The 18841-nt window shown below is 37.1% G+C and overlaps 1 protein-coding gene across 52 annotated transcripts in view; it reads left to right on the plus strand.

Moving 5' to 3' along the window:
* The window catches only part of NRXN3 (neurexin 3), a 1697919-nt gene that overhangs the window by 1047377 nt on the left and 631701 nt on the right, over positions 1-18841 (plus strand). The gene's annotated exons all lie outside the window — the stretch shown is intronic.

Consider the following 18841-nt stretch of genomic DNA (forward strand, 5'->3'; position numbering starts at 1 on the left):
TGGTCTAAGGTATAGACCAGGCATCAATATTTAAAAGTTCCCTAGGTGATTGTAATGTGCAGCCAATCTTGAGAACCATTGCTTTAAACAGTTTGTAAAATGTACGAAACAGGGAAAGATGTTTAATTACAATGTTTAGTTACATGACTGAAATTTTATCAATAAGATCTAAATTCTAATCTAAACAGAAATTCATTTGCCTCTTCATTCTTCAACAGATTAGTTCCCAGAGGACACTGTTGGATTCATATCTGACACGTAAATAAAGCCCACACACCAATATCCAAAGCAGAAAGCTGAAAGGGACCTGTTTCCTTGATAATATCATTGAACCATTGAAATATTGACCCCATAATTGTTCCAATTTTGACTTCTAAGAATGTAGAATATTTGTATTTTGTTTCAACTAGATGTTGGAAAATTCTATAGTTTGCACCCGAAAGCGTTTGAAACATTCCTTTGTATAAACACATTTTCTTGATTGTGTGGTCAATCTGCTGGACAGATCCACTATGAATTCAGACAGATCTGGGTTTGAATCCTGGCTCTGCTACCGTTTAATGACTTTAACAATCTTATTTCATCATGCCTCCAAAAACTGGGAGAAAATAGAATACCTGTTTCAGAAAATGATTATAGGAATTAAAAGCATCCATTCTTTTATTCAGGAAACCTTTGAGCACATGAGTATTCCAAGATTGTATTCTGTACTTGGAGTATATAGGAATGAACAAGACAGCCACACTTAGCAGAATGGGAGAGGGAGGCAATAAGAAAGTTAAAGAAGAGATGACAATGTCGGTTTCTGATAGAAGCTGGGATAAAAAAAGGAGGTAGCAAAAAAGTGTGAATAGGACAAGTCTGAGACTCAAATGATAAAAGGTAGCTCTGCAAGGACCAGACAAGCACATCTAAGTCAGAGAATTGTTAATACAAAAGAGTCTTATGGCAAAAATAAGATTGGTTTATTTGAGAACAACAACAAAAAAGGTCAGAGAGCCTGGATCTAATCAGTAATGCAGTGGAGAGTGAGAAAAGTAAGATTGGACGGGTAAACAGACGACTGATTAGGTAAGCCAGGAAGAGGAGTTGGGATTTATTATAAATCTCATGATCAGCATTTATAAAACTTTAAGCAAGGTGCTAAATTATCTAATTTTATATATAAAGGGGTAAGAGTGAAGGGGGAAACCTGGTTAGCAAGGTCTTGTAATAGTCCCAGTGAGATATGATGGTGCCTTGTTTTAGGGTGGTGCTGGTGGAAGTGAAAAAATATATGTTTAATTTTGCTGTGAACCCAAAACTGCTCTAAAAAATAAGGTCTATTTTTTAAAAGTATATAAATGTTAGTAAAACACATAGATTTACATGGTGGGCACTCAGTTTATTAGAGATAGGGTCTCACTCTGTGCCCCACGCTGGAATGCAGTTGGCATGATCATAGCTCACTGTAATCTCGAACTCCTGCACTCAAACAATCCTCCTGCCTCAGCCTCCTGAGGAGCTAAGACTATAGGCATCAAATGCCCAGCTAATTTTATTTATTATTTATTTATTTTTTTGTAGAGACAGGGTCTTGCTATGTTGCCCAGGCTGGTCTCAACTCCTGGCCTCAAGCAGCCCTTCTTCCTTGGCCTCCCAAAGTGTTGGGATTACAGGTGTCAACCACCATGCCTGGCCAGTAAATGCTATTTTATTCATAATGTTATCATTACCATTAGTACAATGTGGAAGCAAGATCTGGCTCTGTCATTAGCATTGCTTTGGTGGAAAGATTTACTAAATAAAGCAGAGAGACTTTTCCAAATTGTATTTATTATCTTTAAAGGCTTTCCCCTGAAGGTACACTGGGATACTAAGAAGACCTGAATAGCTTAAGATCTCTACAAAAGGATTCCACATACCGGTTTGGGACTTCTAAGGGAAAATGCAAAGATTCACAACTTTTAATAGACAGTGATTTTTGTTTCTATATCTGACGGTCATATAATTATATTTTAGCATCCCAACACAGTTTTGCCATAATGGTGTGACTCTATGATTGTGTTGTATTATGTACCACTTCAACCCAAATTAGTTTAATGATGCTATAGAGGCAGAGTTGTTTTCCCATCAAAATGGGAACAAGTATGCAAAAGCAAGATAAACACTATCTTTCAGAGTGATACATTCAAGCAGCATTGGTTTTAAGATTAAGCAAATTCCCACTGCCTTGCTTTATTAGTATACTTATGAGAAGCTACTTTATAGGTCATATAACTGAAGTGAGTTTATAATTATGGCAATGGGTCTACATTGGAATGTAGTTTATAGTTACTAGCTCAAATATCTCTGCCTTTCACGTTATGTTGGAAAACTGCATGCTATCTTTATTTCTTAGTTTCACATCTGTAAACTGAGATTAAGATCTGCTTTTCTGTTTAAAGACTATTGCCTACATCAGAGAAATCATCCTTCAGCACTTGAAAGACTTTGAAAACAGAGGCTTCCTAGGCAGATAATATTTTGTTTACTATGGTTGGTTTTCTTTTTTCCTTTTGAATAGACTTTATTTTGTAGAGAAGTTTTAGGTTCATAGTAAAATTGAGCAGAAAGTATAGAGTTCTCATAAACCTCTTCCTATGCCATCACACATGATAGCTTCCCCCATCAGGAGCATTCCATGCCTGAGTGGTACATTTCTTACAATTGATGAAACAGTATTGACACGTCATCACCCAAAGTACATAGTTTACACTAGGATTCACTCTTGGTGTTGTACATTATCTTCATGTGTCACCATCATAATATCCTACAGAATAGTTTCATTGCCCTAAAAGTTCTCTGTGCTGTGCTTCCTCATTCCCTCCTAACCACTGTCAAGTAATCTTTTTACTGTCCCCATAGTTTTGCATTTTCTAGAATGTCATATAGTTAGAATCATATGGTATGTAGCTTTTCAGATTGGCTTCTTTTACTTAGTAACATGCATTTAAGTGTCTTCCATATCTTTTTTTAATATATACATATATATTTTTTATTATACTTTAAGTTCTGGGATACATGTGCAGAACGTGCAGGTTTGTTACATAGGTATACACGTGCCATGGTGGTTTGCTGCACCCATCAACCCGTCACCTACATTAGGTATTTCTCCTAATGCTATCCCTCCCCTAGCCCCCATTCCCCAACAGGCCCCGGTGTGTGATGTTCCCCTCCCTGTGTCCATGTGTTTTCATTGTTCACCTCCCACTTACAAGTGAGAACATGCAGTGTTTGGTTTTCTGTTCCTGTATTAGTTTGCTGAGAATGATGGTTTCCAGCTTCATCCATGTCCCTGCAAAGGACATGAACTCATCCTTTTTTATGGCTGCATTGTATTCCATGGTGTATATGTGCCACATTTTCTTTATCTAGTCTATCATTGATGGGCATTTAGGTTGGCTCCAAGTCTTTGCTATTGTGAACAGTGCTGCAATAAACATACATGTGCATGTATCTTTATAGTAGAATCATTTATTATCCTTTGTGTATATATCCAGTAATGGGATTGCTGGGTCAAATGGTATTTCTGGTTCTAGATCCTTGAGTAATTGCTACACTGTTTTCAACAATGGTTGAACAAATTTACACTCCCCCCAACAGTGTAAAAGCGTTCCTATTTCTTCACATCCTCCCCAGCATCTGTTGTTTCCTGACTTTTTAATTATCGCTATTCTAACTGGCGTGAGATGGTATCTCGTTGTGGTTTTGATTTGCATTTCTCTAATGACCAGTGATGATGAGCATTTTTTCATGTTTGTTGGCCACATAAATGTCTTCTTTTGAGAAGTGTCTGCTCATATCCTTCACCTACTTTGTGATGGGGTTGTTTGTTTTTTTCTTGTAAAATTTTTAATGTTCTTTGTAGATTCCGGATATTAGCCCTTTATCAGATGGATAGATTGCAAAAATTTTCTCCCATTCTGTAGATTGCCTGTTCACTCTCATGATAGTTTCTTTTCCTGTGCAGAAGCTCTTTAGTTTAATTAGATCCCATTTGTCAATTTTGGCTTTTGTTGCCATTGCTTTTGATGTTTTAGTCATGAAGTCTTTGCCCATGCCTATGTCCTGAATGGTATTGCCTAAGTTTTCTTCTAGAGTTTTTATGGTTTTAGGTCTTACGTTTAAGTCTTTAATCTATCTTGAGTTAATTTTTGTATAAGGTGTAAGGAAGGGGTCCAGTTTCAGTTTTCTGCGTATGGCTAGCCAGTTTTCCCAACACCATTTGTTAAATAGGGAAATCCTTTCCCCATTGCTTGTTTTTGTCAGGTTTGTCAAAGATCAGATGGTTTTAGATGTGTAGTGTTATTTCTGAGGCCTGTGTTCTGTTCCATTGGTCTATATATCTGTTTTGGTACCAGTACCATGCTGTTTTGGTTACTGTAGCCTTGTAGTATAGTTTGAAGTCAGGTAGTGTGATGCCCCCAGCTTTGTTCTTTTTGCTTGGGATTGTCTTGGCTATACGGGCTCTTTTTTGGTTCCATATGAAATATGAAGTAGTTTTTTCTAATTCTGTGAAGAAATTCAATGGTAGCTTGATGGGGATAGCATTGAATCTATAAATTACTTTTTATGGTTCAATAGCTCATTTCTCCTGACTGCTGAATAATGTTCCCTTGTCTGGATGTACCACAGTTTATTTATTCATTCACCTGCTGAAGGACACCTTAGTTGGTTTTAAGTTTGGGCAATTATGAATAAAGCTGCTATGAACACTCATGTGTAGATTTTTGTGTGAATATAAGTTTTTAGCTCCTTTGGGTATATACCAAGGAGCACAACTGCTGGATTGTATGGTAAGTGTATGTTTAGTTTTGTAAGAAGGTGCCAAACTGTCTTTCAGTGTGGCTGTACCATTTTGCATTCCCACAATCTATAGATGAGACTTTCTGTTACTCGACATCTTTACCAGCATTTAATATTGTCAGTGTTTTAAATATGGACCATACTAATTGATGTATAATGGCATCTCATTGTTGTTTTAATTTGCATTTCCCCAGTGACAAATGATACAGAGAATCTTCATATATAATTATTGCCATCTGTATTACTTTTTGGGTGAGGTGTGTGTTCAGATCTTTGGCCATTTTTCATCTGCTGTTTTCTTATTGTTGAATTTCAAGAGTTTTTAACATATTTTGGATAACAGTCCTTTATCATTATGTCTTTTTCAAATATTTTTCCCATTATGGCTTATCTTTTCATTCTCTTGACAGTTACATCATGCTTTTAATTGTAGAATTAGACAACAATGAAATAACCAAAGCCTTAGTAATCTTAATTAGAGATTATCTTCTATTATTTTCTATTTTTCTTGTTTCACCTGAGTTAGAAAACTGACCTGCACTGACTTCCTCTTTCACAATAATTCCAGTGAAATGAAAGTGATTAGAAAGTCTTAGCAAATTCACCAAAAGTTAGAGCCAGAAGACTCACATTTCAATTCTCTACCTAAAGAGAAGGACAGGCAGAAGCCAAATATGTAAAGAGTTTGTCAGAAGTATGCCTTGGAGCCATGGGCATTGTTCATTACTCTGCTGAATTTATCTTATGGATTTTCCCCTCCACATTAATGTTTCAATGATCTTGGTTAGATTGTTGAAGTACAGGTTCCTGCTAGGCATTTCTAACTTTTTGTTTTAATATTCTCTTATCCTGTTCATTTACTCTCATTTTTCCTTTTAGAAATTTACTGCCATCTTCTCTTTTAGAAATTCTTTTGACAATCTGAAGGAATGCAGTTATTTATCCCTATGAGCAATTAAATACTTTTAATGGGAATGTCATGTTTTTAAATCACATTTCTTATAAGAAAAAAATGGTGTTTACTCAAATGAATGTGGTCTGATGGTGATCCTGATCTATGAGCAGTAATTGAGATCATGGAAATAAATACAGGAAAGCTGGCTCCCTGCTCCCTTCAATAACCAAATCTATGGTTTAGACATTTTTTAGCACTTTGCTCCAACCTGTTACAGATTATCAACATTATATATGATGATAATAAATCAGAGCACCACTTTAAAACACAAAAGTGGTTGCCTCTCAGTGCTATGGCAAACATAGAATTTTGAACTTTTTGTATGACTGGTATTTTTTTAAGCGACTATATTTTAATAACGAGCTATTGCATGTGACTTTACTATGATGCTCAAATATGTTCTATGTATGACGGGGAGGAGGAATGATGTTACCATATGTTGGTTCTGAATTCCTATTTTATTTTATTCTCAGGTGGAAAAAAGAAAGAAAAAAGGATTCATCAGCAATAGGGCAACTTAGAGCGGACACATAGGTACTATGGCAGTGATAAGAGATGAGATAGATCATCACTATGCCCTTTTCAATTCTTGGGAACTGTCTTCGTTAAACAGTTTTAGATGCAAGGGTAATTTTTTTCCTATGGTGATTGTAGAAAGAACACCCAGAGATTGGGACTAGAAGTCAGGATGTCTTTAGCCTTACTTGGTTGTCAGCTAACTGTGCTGTTTTGGACAATGCATTCTTTTTTGGTATTCTGTTTATCCCACTACAAAATAGAGATAGTGAGAATTGGATTACCATTGTCAATATGAAGCACAGATGAGGTAAGTGTGAATCACTTGAGGATATATAAAGTCATTTAAAACTTTAATAATTATAATACGATAATATAGTTGTTGATTTAGTTTAGTTTCTTACATATGATATTCTACATATTCTTATCACTTCACAGGGAAGCATTGACTGGCCAAAGTAATGGTGGGTAGAGGGAATCACTTACCTTAGCTTAAAGAGATGCCAAAATCTAGGACCTATTCAGAGTTATGAATTATATTTTGTTGAGCAGTGTTCCTCCAAAATTCATGTCCTTCCTGGAACCTCAGAATGTGACCTTATTTGGAGGTCACACTGGAGATGAGTGGGCTCTTACTCCAATCTGACTTGTATCCTTATAATAAAAAGGGAAGAGACACAGAGACAGATGCACACACAGAGGAGAACATTGTGTGCAGACACAGACACATGAGGAAGATGGCCAGTAATGATGAAGGCAGAAATTGGAATTACTCCGTAGGAAGGCAAGGATCACCAAGGATTGCTGCCAACTACCAACAGCTAGAAGACTATGGCCATGCTCACATCTTGATTTCAGACTGTGACCCCCAAAACAGAAATGGTGAGAAAATTAATCTATTAAGTCACCCAGTTTGTGGTTCTTTGTTACAGCCGCCCTAGGAAACTAATACAGGAGTCAAGGAGGCTGCTGAACCCAGCTGGACACTGAGGGGCATCCACAGAGGTCACCAAAGTGGAGTGGCCAGAACTAGATTTTGGAAGCCAGATATGGAGGCAGGAATCCAAGAAGCAGGGAGCCTAATGAGGAATAGTCATAAAAAGAGCTCTTGGCAGCCGCCTGTTCCAGATGTTGGTGTTGCTGCCAGTTTCTATCTGCTCAGTACCCAAGGCACTTTAATGGACTGAGATAGGTTGGACAGGTTCTGTTTGAAAAAATCCCTTACATGCAAAGTAAGATAAAACCAAAAGCCAAAGTATCTTGCTTTACCTTGAAGAAGGAAGCAACTCTCCCTGATCACAGAGCTTCCCTACTTGGCCATAGGATAGCCTCATGTGCACTTAGCTCAATGTTACTCTGAGTTTCTTTCTACTCCGTCTTTCTCGATATAATCCTAAAAGTTAGGGATTCCCAGGAATTATCATGGAACAACTGGCTTATGTCTTAGTTTCCTATCACTGCTGTAATAAATCACGGCAACCTTTGCAATTTAAAACAACGTAAAACCTATTATCTTAGACTTTTGCAGGTGAGAAGTCCATTATGGGTTGCACTAGTCTAAAACTAGTGCAACACTTTTTACCCCCTGAAAGACATCAACACTTTTTACCCCCTGAATCTAAAATAAAAGTTGAAATTATTTTTAGAAATAAAAATAAATTAAAATGTTTCGTAAACCACTTTGGTTTCCTTTCTGGTGTCTCTGAGGCAAATGTTTTCTGCTCATTTGAGTTGTTGGCAGAATTTAATTTCTTGTGGTTGAAGGATGGAGATCTGGGGTTTTTTTGCTGGCTGAAAACTGAGGGCCATTGGCAGCTTCTAGAGGCTACTGTATTCCTAGCCCATGGTGCCTTTCTTCCGTCTTCAAAGCCTGCATTCTTCTGCTTCTTTGTCCTTTTTTAAAGACTCATGTGATTAGATCAGGCCCACCCAGATAATCCAGGATTATCTCCCTTTCTTCAGGTTGGCTGCTGAACAACCTCAATTCCACCTGCAACCTAATTCCCTTTTACCATGTAGCCTAACATATTCACAGCTCTGGGGATTAGGATGTGGACGTCTTTCAGGAGCCATGATCCTTCCTTCCACACATTAACTGCAGCTAAGCAACATGACTCCCCATCACGACAGAGTAGAAGGAGAAACTGAACTGTGAGAGGGGAAACAGCTTTATCAAAACATAGCAAATGTCAATTATAAGCAAAAAGAGAAAGTCAAGCTGCCTATAATATGTGCAATATATTTATTCTTTTATAAACTTGCTGATATGGAAATTAAAAATTAAATCTACTTAATGGAAAATATTTGATATAAGAACATCAGACATATCTTTGATAGGCAATAAATTACTTTATAGAATCGTTTAGCATCTTATCTTCAGGGCTATTTTTTGGCCCTAACTTTGAGCACATTAATTTTGAGTTCCTCTTGTTTCTCTTCTATTTGTTCCCTCAAACCCAATGTATCAGAAGTTATTTTAACTTAAGTTTTCCTTGCCTAATTCCATCCACTTATCCCCAGAATTGTTTCATCTCATGTATTTATTACACTGTTCACATATCACCTTCTATTTTCATGCCCCTTGTAAACAGCCTAAGAGGCACATTACTGGTAAAGCCTCAGGGTAAACAGGCATTGCCTCCCATTTTGATTTCAGCTCCATTTAATGACTTTTTATACCCAATGTGGACACATACTCATTTTTAGTTTTCCAATGCAGATTTCAGCTATATTTTGGCTTTATTCCTCTTTTTTCATCCTTTTTTTCTTTTTTTTTTTTTTTTTTTGAGACAGAGTCTTGCTCTTTTGCTCAGTCTGGAGTGCAGTGACATGATCTCGGCTCACTGCAACCTCCAACTCCCAGGTTCAAGCAATTCTCCTTTCTCAAGTAATCCTCCTGAATAGCTAGGATTACAGGCATGCACCACCACACCCAGCTAATTTTTGTATTTTTAGTAGAAACGGGTTTCACCATATTGGTCAGGCTGCTCTTGAACTCCTGACCTCGTGATCCGCCAGCCTAGGCCTCCCAAAGTCCTGGAATTACAGGCGTGAGCCACCGCGCCTGGCCTACATCCATTTTAAAATGAAAAAATATATATATATGTAATTTATTTGAAGAAAGTCTATTCATTTACGTAACACTTATCATTGAGCACTTCGTAGGTACCTGGCGTTGTTCTAGACACTGGAAACAGACCACTGATTCTGATGCTCAAGGGCCCTGTTGGTGGCATTGCCTTTGGTGCATCCTTTTCTTTCACCTCTTATACTTTCGTGTTAATACTTCCCTACATGGATTGTTTTCTTACTTTGTCATGTGTACACTTTCCCTACATGGTGTTTTCTTACCTTGTCATGTGTACACTTTTTTTACCCTTTGCATTATGAAATTTTTGTATCCTGAATCTCGTTTGGCTATGACTCAACTTTTTAAGCTAACTCTATTTGGAAAGAGTCTGATTAAAGAAAATGTCACCAAACGGTTAAATATGTTATTTCTGTGCATGTTTGTTATTTGTCAAGGGGTTTCATTTTAACCCAAATGAATAACTTTTTATTGGTGGATTGTACCCATCCTCGTTAGATCACCAAAGGCAGTATGTATTCTGATAGGGCCACTTTGTTGTGCCTCTCTGCTTTCTTTTCTCTCTCTTTTTCTTTTCTTTCTTTTTCTCTCTCTCTCCTTTCTCTCCTTCCTTCCTTCCTTCCTTCCTTCCTTCCTTCCTTCCTTCCTTCCCTCCTCCCTTCCTCCCTTCCTCCCTCCCTTCCTCCCTTCCTCCCTTCCTCCCTCCCTTCCTCCCTCCCTTCCTCTCTTTCTTCTCTTGCCTCTTTACCTAATGTCTCAAATGGTAAGTCAGGCCCTGACCTCACATGTGACAGTTAAAAAGATGCCAGTGACATCTTTCCCCAAAGCAATAGAAAGGATATTTTTCAACTAACGATTTAAATAGGTCAAAGCAAACAGGATACTCACATTAAAGGAAGAAGAAACTGCATGTTATAGAAAGACCTATGCATTCAGATACCTTTGCCTGCCCTGAAATTCCATTTTTCAAATTCATTTGCCTGTTAGCTGAGGACCTTTTTAATGGAACTGATGTTAGTGATCTCCTAGACCTCTGACAGTTCTTGAGAGATAGCAAAAGCTTTCCCTGAAGTGCTAGCCATGTAGCTTATCCCTTTAGGCACTCTATTGTAGAAGTCTCCCTGATAAAGCTTCCTGTACTCAAATTCTTAGGGGCAGGGAGGAGGGATAAACAATTGGAATACTTTTTTGGGATATTAATAATTGGTTATTTCAAAATCTAAAAAAAAATTAAAAATAATCATTTGAGGAACTCTGTTAAATTTTTTAAAAAGTGCATTAGGTTTAGATGTGATGAAGCAACAAATGCAACAGATGTTGCAATGCCAATCAGATACTTGACTAAGACAAAAGTTTAATGCCAAACTGCTTCACCAGAAATAGCTTCCTACCTGACAGAGGACACTGAATTGTGTCAAAGTATTAGAGGAGGCAATTGGTAGGTAAAGATAATTAAAGGGACATCCAACATGTTTTGAGTTCTTTCTCCGTATATATGGAGAGAGAGAAAAGGGTATATTTGTGCCTTGGATTCATTAGTAAAATGCATTAGCTATAGCTGACTGATTTGCAACTGGTGCCTGCCTGAGGTCTCCAAAGAGAGGAGATTTACATTTAGGTTTTAAGCTTGGGAAACTTTGAAAGTTCTTATAAAAAATTAGACAGTCATTTAGAAATGTAAATATACTGTATTTCTTTCTGGATTACACATTTGCTGAAATTCACCTTTTAGTTTTTTTAGAAGGGAGCGGTATTGGCATACGTGTTACACTTTTTTGCACATCACTTTTGAAATGAGGTTCCAGATGGAGTCTCAGCCCCAGAGTGTAACAAAGAGATCATTGGTTACAACCTCCTTCTTACAGACTAACACACTAAAACCCAGAGAGGTTAAGGAAGAGATTTAAAATCACACAAATATTTAGCAGCCTGGCCATCCATGACTAGGACCCAAGTTAATCAAATTTCCATCATAGTCTTTTTTTCCTTCCCTTCATCAGCATTATACTTGCTTGAGTAAACATCTTAAATATAGAATGTTTCTCCTTTTCATTAAGAGGTCATCTAAAATAGTATGTTCTCTATTCTCCATTAAACATAGTTTATAAGATTTCTTTGCCTTTAAAATCAGTTTAATTAGGGTAAAATTTAATACATAATTGATCATACATCTCCAAGTTGAAACATCTATTCTGTTTTTAGGCTTAGTTTAGTCATTTCCCATTTGTTTGATTTAAAGTAGGGTTGAAGGGGCACACAGCCCCGGGAAACTTCAGTGTAAAGTGCCATCCAACTCTAGCCAGATTCTTTTATCTAATCACCACACTCCCTGAAGTCTCTGATAATTATCAATAAATTGGGTGGTAGATAAATAGCAGTGTCATGAGAGAAGGAAAAAGCTGAAGGCACACTAGCAGTGACTCTTTCTACCTGTCAGCAGGATGGAGGAGTAAAGACAGATCTGTCCTGTTTGTCAGGAGCAGAAAGTATGCTGGCGAAAACGAACTCCTGGGAAGGGAAGGTGTCAGGAAGATGAATTACCCCAGGAAGCCAGGACTGCTCTCCCAGTGGAGAGCAGCTCACTTGGATATAATTTGCCAGCTGTCCGTCTTGTCCTCGTGCGTCTCTGTCTTTTTCCTCCTTTGCGCTGCCAGCAACAAGCCTGTGCTGTGTAGATCTAGTGCAGCCACAGAACCTTGGGACTAGCTGAAGGGCCGCTAGACCTAATGGCAGGGGTAACTATTTTTGCAATTGTGAATATTCAGCATGCACAGGCTTCCTATCAGCTCTCCCAGGAGCTCTCTGAGAGATGGACCCTGTGAGGAAACATCTTTAAATGAACACCTTAGTAGAGAATGATCCTGTTAGGTGAATAAAAGGCTGATTACATACCCAGAGGTGAGCCATAATGAGGCTCAGAGTAACTAAATGCAGCAATCTGCTGCACTTTGTATCTGGACTTGAGCCTGAGCATTTCAAAGTAGCATCTGGAAAAGAAAAAGGCTCTGGGGAAAATCACACAGTAGACTTGAAATATTTCATTTTTTTTTCTCCAAAGGGAACTTAGGGTAGATTTCTTGGGTAACGGTTTTGAAGAAAGAAGGCCTGGTGTGAGAGGAACATGTTGTGTTGGCATCACCACCTCACATAACCAAACTAACACTCTCCTATCATTGTTGGGTGCTGAGAGAGCTGGTGGTCCCTGCCTGTGTCTTTAAAGTGACAAGGGTTGCCTAGCCTGAAGATTCTAGCACAACATCAGCATCTTACCTACATAAACTGAAGATTCCTCAAGAATGTTGAAGCAATAGTCATTATGTTTACTACAGGAGTAAGTGAGGCATCAATCTACCTTCTACCTTGTGAGTTAGCCACATAAAGCAGTGCCACAGGTTGAAACAAACCTTCTTGGTCTGGTTTATAATTTAAATTCTCCATGGAAGTAGCTGCAGCTTGGAAGCTCATTCCATTGAAAAGTTCACTGGCTTTGGTGATTCACAAAGGAGCATTTCTTATTTGGTGAATTAGTATCCTAATTAATTCATTTCATGGAGCAAGCATCTTTGTGATTCTCTCTTCTGCTGCCTACTTTCTCCCTGGCAGGTACAGGTAGGATTCTAAAGTATAAAGAGGACTTTCACCTGGAAACCAGAAGGTTGAGTTCTTAAAGGGGTCATGATGCTTGCTAGTAATGTGACCTCCTGCTATTCAATACTTCTGAGTCTCCTTTTACTCATCTGTAAAATGGGGAGAAAAAAAAACTGTCCTGCCTTTTACCCTTTTCTTAGCATACAAGAGTTACTGAGAATGCTTCAGAAGCTATTATGAACCACTGTAGCATCAGCTATATTTATTTAAGGCACCTATTTTGTATGTTAAAATATTCTAGAGTATCTTATAACTCTTGGTTAATGAAACTAAGGACTTTCTCACTCCTTAGGTAAAAAAGTAGTGTTTATTTCAGAGCAAGATGTTCAAAAGCAAGACTAAACAATTTGATTCCTGGGATCATGCCATCGGGCTGTCTTGACTCTCTCTGATTGCTTTCAGTATTTTTATTTTATTGGGTAGAAGAACTTGGTAAAATGTTACCCTGAGGCTAAAGAGAGCTCTTTAAAATGACTTTAGGGATCTGAATAGACCAGTTGCCATTTATTCCCTTAATATGATTAGTTTCCTAATAGTCAAAGGCTGAGATAGCATTTATTTCTCCTAAGTTTCAGTCTAAGCCAATGTGGGTGCCTATTAGTGTCATAGTGATGAGTGGCACAGATGAGCAAACAGATAATTAAGGAAAACCAAATATCCTTCCCATCCCCCACCTCACACCCATTTAGTAGTTGACTTTGGTGTAAAAGTGTCTTCCTGTTTCAGTAGGATAATTTGGTGCTCATCTGTCAGATAGATGGAGGATGGCAATGCTAATTTGTTTCTCCAGGCATACTTGCCTCAGACTTAAGGACTAAGGTTACCATGTAGCTCAGAGCTGAAAGGTAAGAGTCAGAGGCATTCAATGATTAAATAGTCAATATGTTCTGACTTCTCTGCTAATTTAGCAAAAGGAAGAACATCTCAATTTTGTCACTTATTACCAGTTGTTTAGCTTGTCTTAGAAACATGCCTTGATTTGAATAGATAAACTACTTTTAAAGCATAAGTCAGCAGCCTTTTGTTTTATGAAATAGTAGTCCTCCATTTGGGGCAATTAAAATGACCATTTCTTTGGAAATAAAATGTTAAACTGGTGATGGTAGGGTGAGGTCTAGGGGGTGATAGGAGAGGGAAGTTGAGATTTCAACAGCTAAGTGCAAAAGAAAATTTTAAAATACTTAGTATTAAAATTTTTAACTTGCTACTACTTTATTGGTCTCATATAAGGACATGAACACCTGGGGAAGTAATTGGAAAGGGAAGGAACATAAAAAATATTTTATATTCTGTGAGGTAAAAACTGAGGCTAAAACATAAATAATTTGGCCCAGGTCATATGGCAGGAGAATATTAGAATCTGGATTTGATCCTGCTTTTGTCTGGCTGTGGCTGTGAAAATTGAGTCCATCAGTTTTCATCCCATGGCATCTGGAATCATTGCCCCTTGCCACGTCTTTGTGTGTGTGCGCGCGCACGTGTGTGTGTGTGTATGTGTGTGTGCGTGCTCCAAGTTCATCCCGATTTCTTTAATCTAGCCTTGTTAAAACACATTTTAAGGTCAGTTTTTAAGGCACAAAATGTAGGATGAGTGAGTTGATAGGTAGATATCTATTAGCTTGAAATTGTATTCAAAACAGAACCTCATTCTTAAAAGTTTAAAAATCTATATCAATTACCCAGCCTCAAATATAGTTTTCTTCTCTTTCAAATGTTGTAGAAAAATGCTTCATATTTTCTGGCTACTGAGCTTCTTAATATTAGAGTACCATCTCTTCCTACAATTCGGTTACAGGTTGCTCACTTTTAGCGACATTGGCTTTCTAGTTGGAGAAATTCCTTAGATTTCAGGTACCACATCAGAATTTCTTTCAGTTAGGGTGACAGATCCAATATACTACATGTGTGTGAAGTATAGATGAAGGTAATCAGATCTCATGCTTCAGGGAATAAACTGATTACCCGCGATGGTCAGGAAGGAATTTTCACCATTAGCATCCTGCAAATACACAAACCCAAGTGCAAGAATCCAACTTTCTTCTATGTAAAGTTTTCTTGTAGCACCTCATCAAGTGCAGGGCATAAAATCTAAACCTATGACATAATGTGCTATGTATAATTGTTGTCATACATGCATGACTGTTTATTATGCACCAAAATAAATACTGTAGCAGTTGAGACAGAGTCTAGTTAGATAACTGAGATAGTGATTCATTAAATATAAACTACTTAAAATCTTTTCATGTTTCCTCCAGGAATCTCAAAGTACCTTCCCAAAATGAGCTCATTAATCCTCATGAATATTCTGTCACATAAATTCTGTTACATTTCTCTGAAAACATAGGTTAGTCAATCTTACTAACTAGTAAGTTCTAGCAGCAAGTCTTCACAGCACTCCAACACCTTTATTGCCTTGAAATCTCATTAGAGATTTAGTTTCTAACACTGTTAATCTAGATGGAATTCTTTCATCCCTAGCTCATTACTACATTTACCCTTCAACAAACATGTGGTGGGAGTCAACTGTGCGCAACGTGCTGAATATGAAAAGTTAAATGGGGCTCAGGGTTCACTGGGAAAGTGCTGGTAAGTTCATTCACATGCACTCCAGTACAACTTGGTATGCCCAGTGCTGCCTAGCCTAGCAAGACCCTCTTTAATCTACTGTTGCCTTCTTGTACAGGTCTTTATATCATGCGGGCTTTGACACAGATAAACCTACTGTAATCCGTGATTTGGTTCTAAGAGCCTATAATGAACTCCAGTTAATTCAGATGCCATTTAGAGAAACTTGGTCATATTCTACCTTAGAAAACTCTTGGAATAACTTTAGTTCTTTTGAAAATTGCAGTGGTCCAGACATTTTTACTCTAGTATAACTGCTGTGTGTGTGTGTGTGTGTGTGTGTGTGTGTCTGTTGATCAGAAACTTTATAACGAGGATTAGACTTAAATTTGGCAAGCTTTTCTAGATAAATTCTAGAGAAAGGTCCCATGATGATCCTAGAAAATTTAATTAAGAGTAACAATTAAGAGATCCTTTTGAAGTGCCCATGTTTAAGTTTTATTTGTTTGGTTTTGTATTTTTTTCTAAATATTCTTTCAGATCAAACCAAGTCTAAACTGGTTACTATTTGACTTAATGAAAGGCCTGACATGAAGGAAGGATGTAAATAATTTTGAGAGAAAATACTTTTGAAATGTTAAAACATTTCTTTTGAGCAATGTTATTTTTATTATAAAGGAAATAGCACTTTCACCTCTGGGAGTGAATAGGGGCTTCTCAATTTGATACCTAAAGGATATTTCCTCTCAAGACAAACAAACAAAAATGTGCTTACTGGGGCTGCACCTTCAGCCCAGCATTGGATATGTTAATTGCTGACATACTTGAGGTCTCACTAAGAGAAAAATATCATTAGACTGCTGGTTCCCAAAATACATTCCCTTAAATATCAGTCCTATGGAGTGGTCCTTGGGAATAAAAATCAGGGAACATATTCAATGGTAAATATATATATATATATATATATATATATATATATATATATATATATAATATTTATATATATATTATATATGTATTATGTAGCTCTTTATTATTATTATTATTATTTTTGAGACAGAGTCTGGCTCTGTTGCCTAGGCTGGAGTGTAGTGGCATGATCTCAGCTTACTGCAACCTCCACCTCCTGAGGTTCAAGCCATTCTCCCGCCTCAGCCTCCCGAGTATCTGGGATTACAAGCACCTGCCATCACGCCTGGCTAAGTTTTGTATTTTTAGTAGAAACAGGGTTTCACCATGTTGGCCAGGATGGTCTCAAATTCCTGCCCTCGAGTGATCTGCCTTCGACCTCCCAACATGCTGGGATTATAGGTGTAAGCCAGGGTAGCTTTTTAATACTGCTCCCTCTCTCTTAGGTATTCACAGTGCATATTAGCAAATTAAATGTTCTGTGAAGTCTTGTATTAAGTACATCTTTTAATATTTTATTTAAGACTTCCCAAATTCACTTGACCATTCACTTTGTAATATTCCTTGACAGAATACTTGTTAATATCCAGCTCCTGGGAACACAATTTGGGAAATACTACACTAGGAAAAAAAATCTAGGTTGGGGAAATCTAACTAAACAAGAGTGTTTATTTACATTAGTAAGTTACTTTGTACTTTATGTGAGTCTCCTTTTCAAGTGAGTTTCTCAAGTGTCTTAAAATACTATTTTAAATAATTTTTAAAACATTGATATTTTTTTGAAAATACATTAAGTATGTTTTTAGAACTTGAAATTGAATGAATTCCCCCTTATCCCTTGTCTGCCAGTTCTGTTAGTCTTCTCTTCAGTATTTGATTTATGAGAGATCAATTCATATCCAACTTTTCAGAGCATGTCTCATGTCATGTGAAAGACAGCATACCTATATTTGTGTAAGAAAGGGGAGAAAACCTACTTCTGAGTGTAACATAAAAACTATGTGACAGTCAAGTATGATAAAAGGAAAATACTGGTTATAGGGTCAAGCAACCTTTATCTCTTTTTGGCTTACTGTGAGATTTGGGCCAACAAGTAACCTCTCTGATCCTGCCTGGATAATTGAAATGACTATTACTTCCCTCCACCAGAGAGTGAATGATGTGTGGATTAAAGTCTGACCTTTGGGCAAATGCCTCCTAGTGACTTGAAAGAAGGTGCCCTCATTTCTAACCCACACCTTACATCTGTGTCTATGATCCCATTCACAGACTGGTTCTGAATTAATTCTGTCAGTCTTGCATTCTTGCACTTGCCTTCCTGTCACCTATTCACTTGCATTCTCTCTCTACAGTTAGGACATTGTCAACACAGATTGTGTTTGAGTAAAAAAGTTCACTCAGAGAAAAATAATTATAGAAAGGAAAAGCATAGATCAGGAGACAAGTAAAGACATACAGTGAATCTTTAATCCAGAGTTGATTTACTCAAGCCTTATTGAAAGATAATCATGAAGCAAAATGATTAGGTATGGATGTGTAAATCTGTAATGAATGACTCTGAGTAAAGATTGTACTCATCATCACTAGATTTCTCTCATAAGTGCATTGGGTTAAAAAAAAGAATTACCTAAGATCATTTGAAATTCAGTAATAAGATTCTCTTCAGAAGATCTTTTGATTCTGTAGAGAATTAACATATCTAATTATTATCTGAAGACCCCAAACACCAGATCCTCCAAAATAATGTTCCTTCTGACATTTTCAACTTGTATAAAATTTGGTTATCTGGAAATTTACTGCACATAAGGTCCAGCAAGAGAATAATTACACTTTATTGATATTTTCTCACAATGCCATGAGAAAATCTGGCTGAAGCTGTGAAAAATGAGTTATATTTATAAACCAGAGATGTTAGCTTTCCAAAGTAGTTTCAAATCCAGACACCCAATACACACACTTCCACTCACCTTCACGTTCTCACAAACTTATACAAGAAAGTACTCAATGATGTATTTCTAGGCATTAAATATTTATATGGTGTATATAGGTAGGTATATATATATATGTATGTGTATTTATGTGTGTGTATATGTACATATGTTCACATACATTTATGTATATGTATGTATATATGAATCATAATTTGCTGATAAGCGTTAGACACTATTATTATAAATTTCCCTTAATACACAAATTTCTCAATATCTTAGAAGAAAATTTTCAAGTATATGAGAGCTCTTCTTTCTATCAGCATAGGTGATAGCATTAAACTGAATATTAACCATTCCCCAGGGTAGAGAAATTATATCTCAGGGTAGAAAAATATATATTTT

The sequence above is a fragment of the Homo sapiens genome, chromosome 14 (assembly GCF_000001405.40).
Source record: "Homo sapiens chromosome 14, GRCh38.p14 Primary Assembly".
NCBI classification, from domain to species: domain Eukaryota; kingdom Metazoa; phylum Chordata; class Mammalia; order Primates; family Hominidae; genus Homo; species Homo sapiens.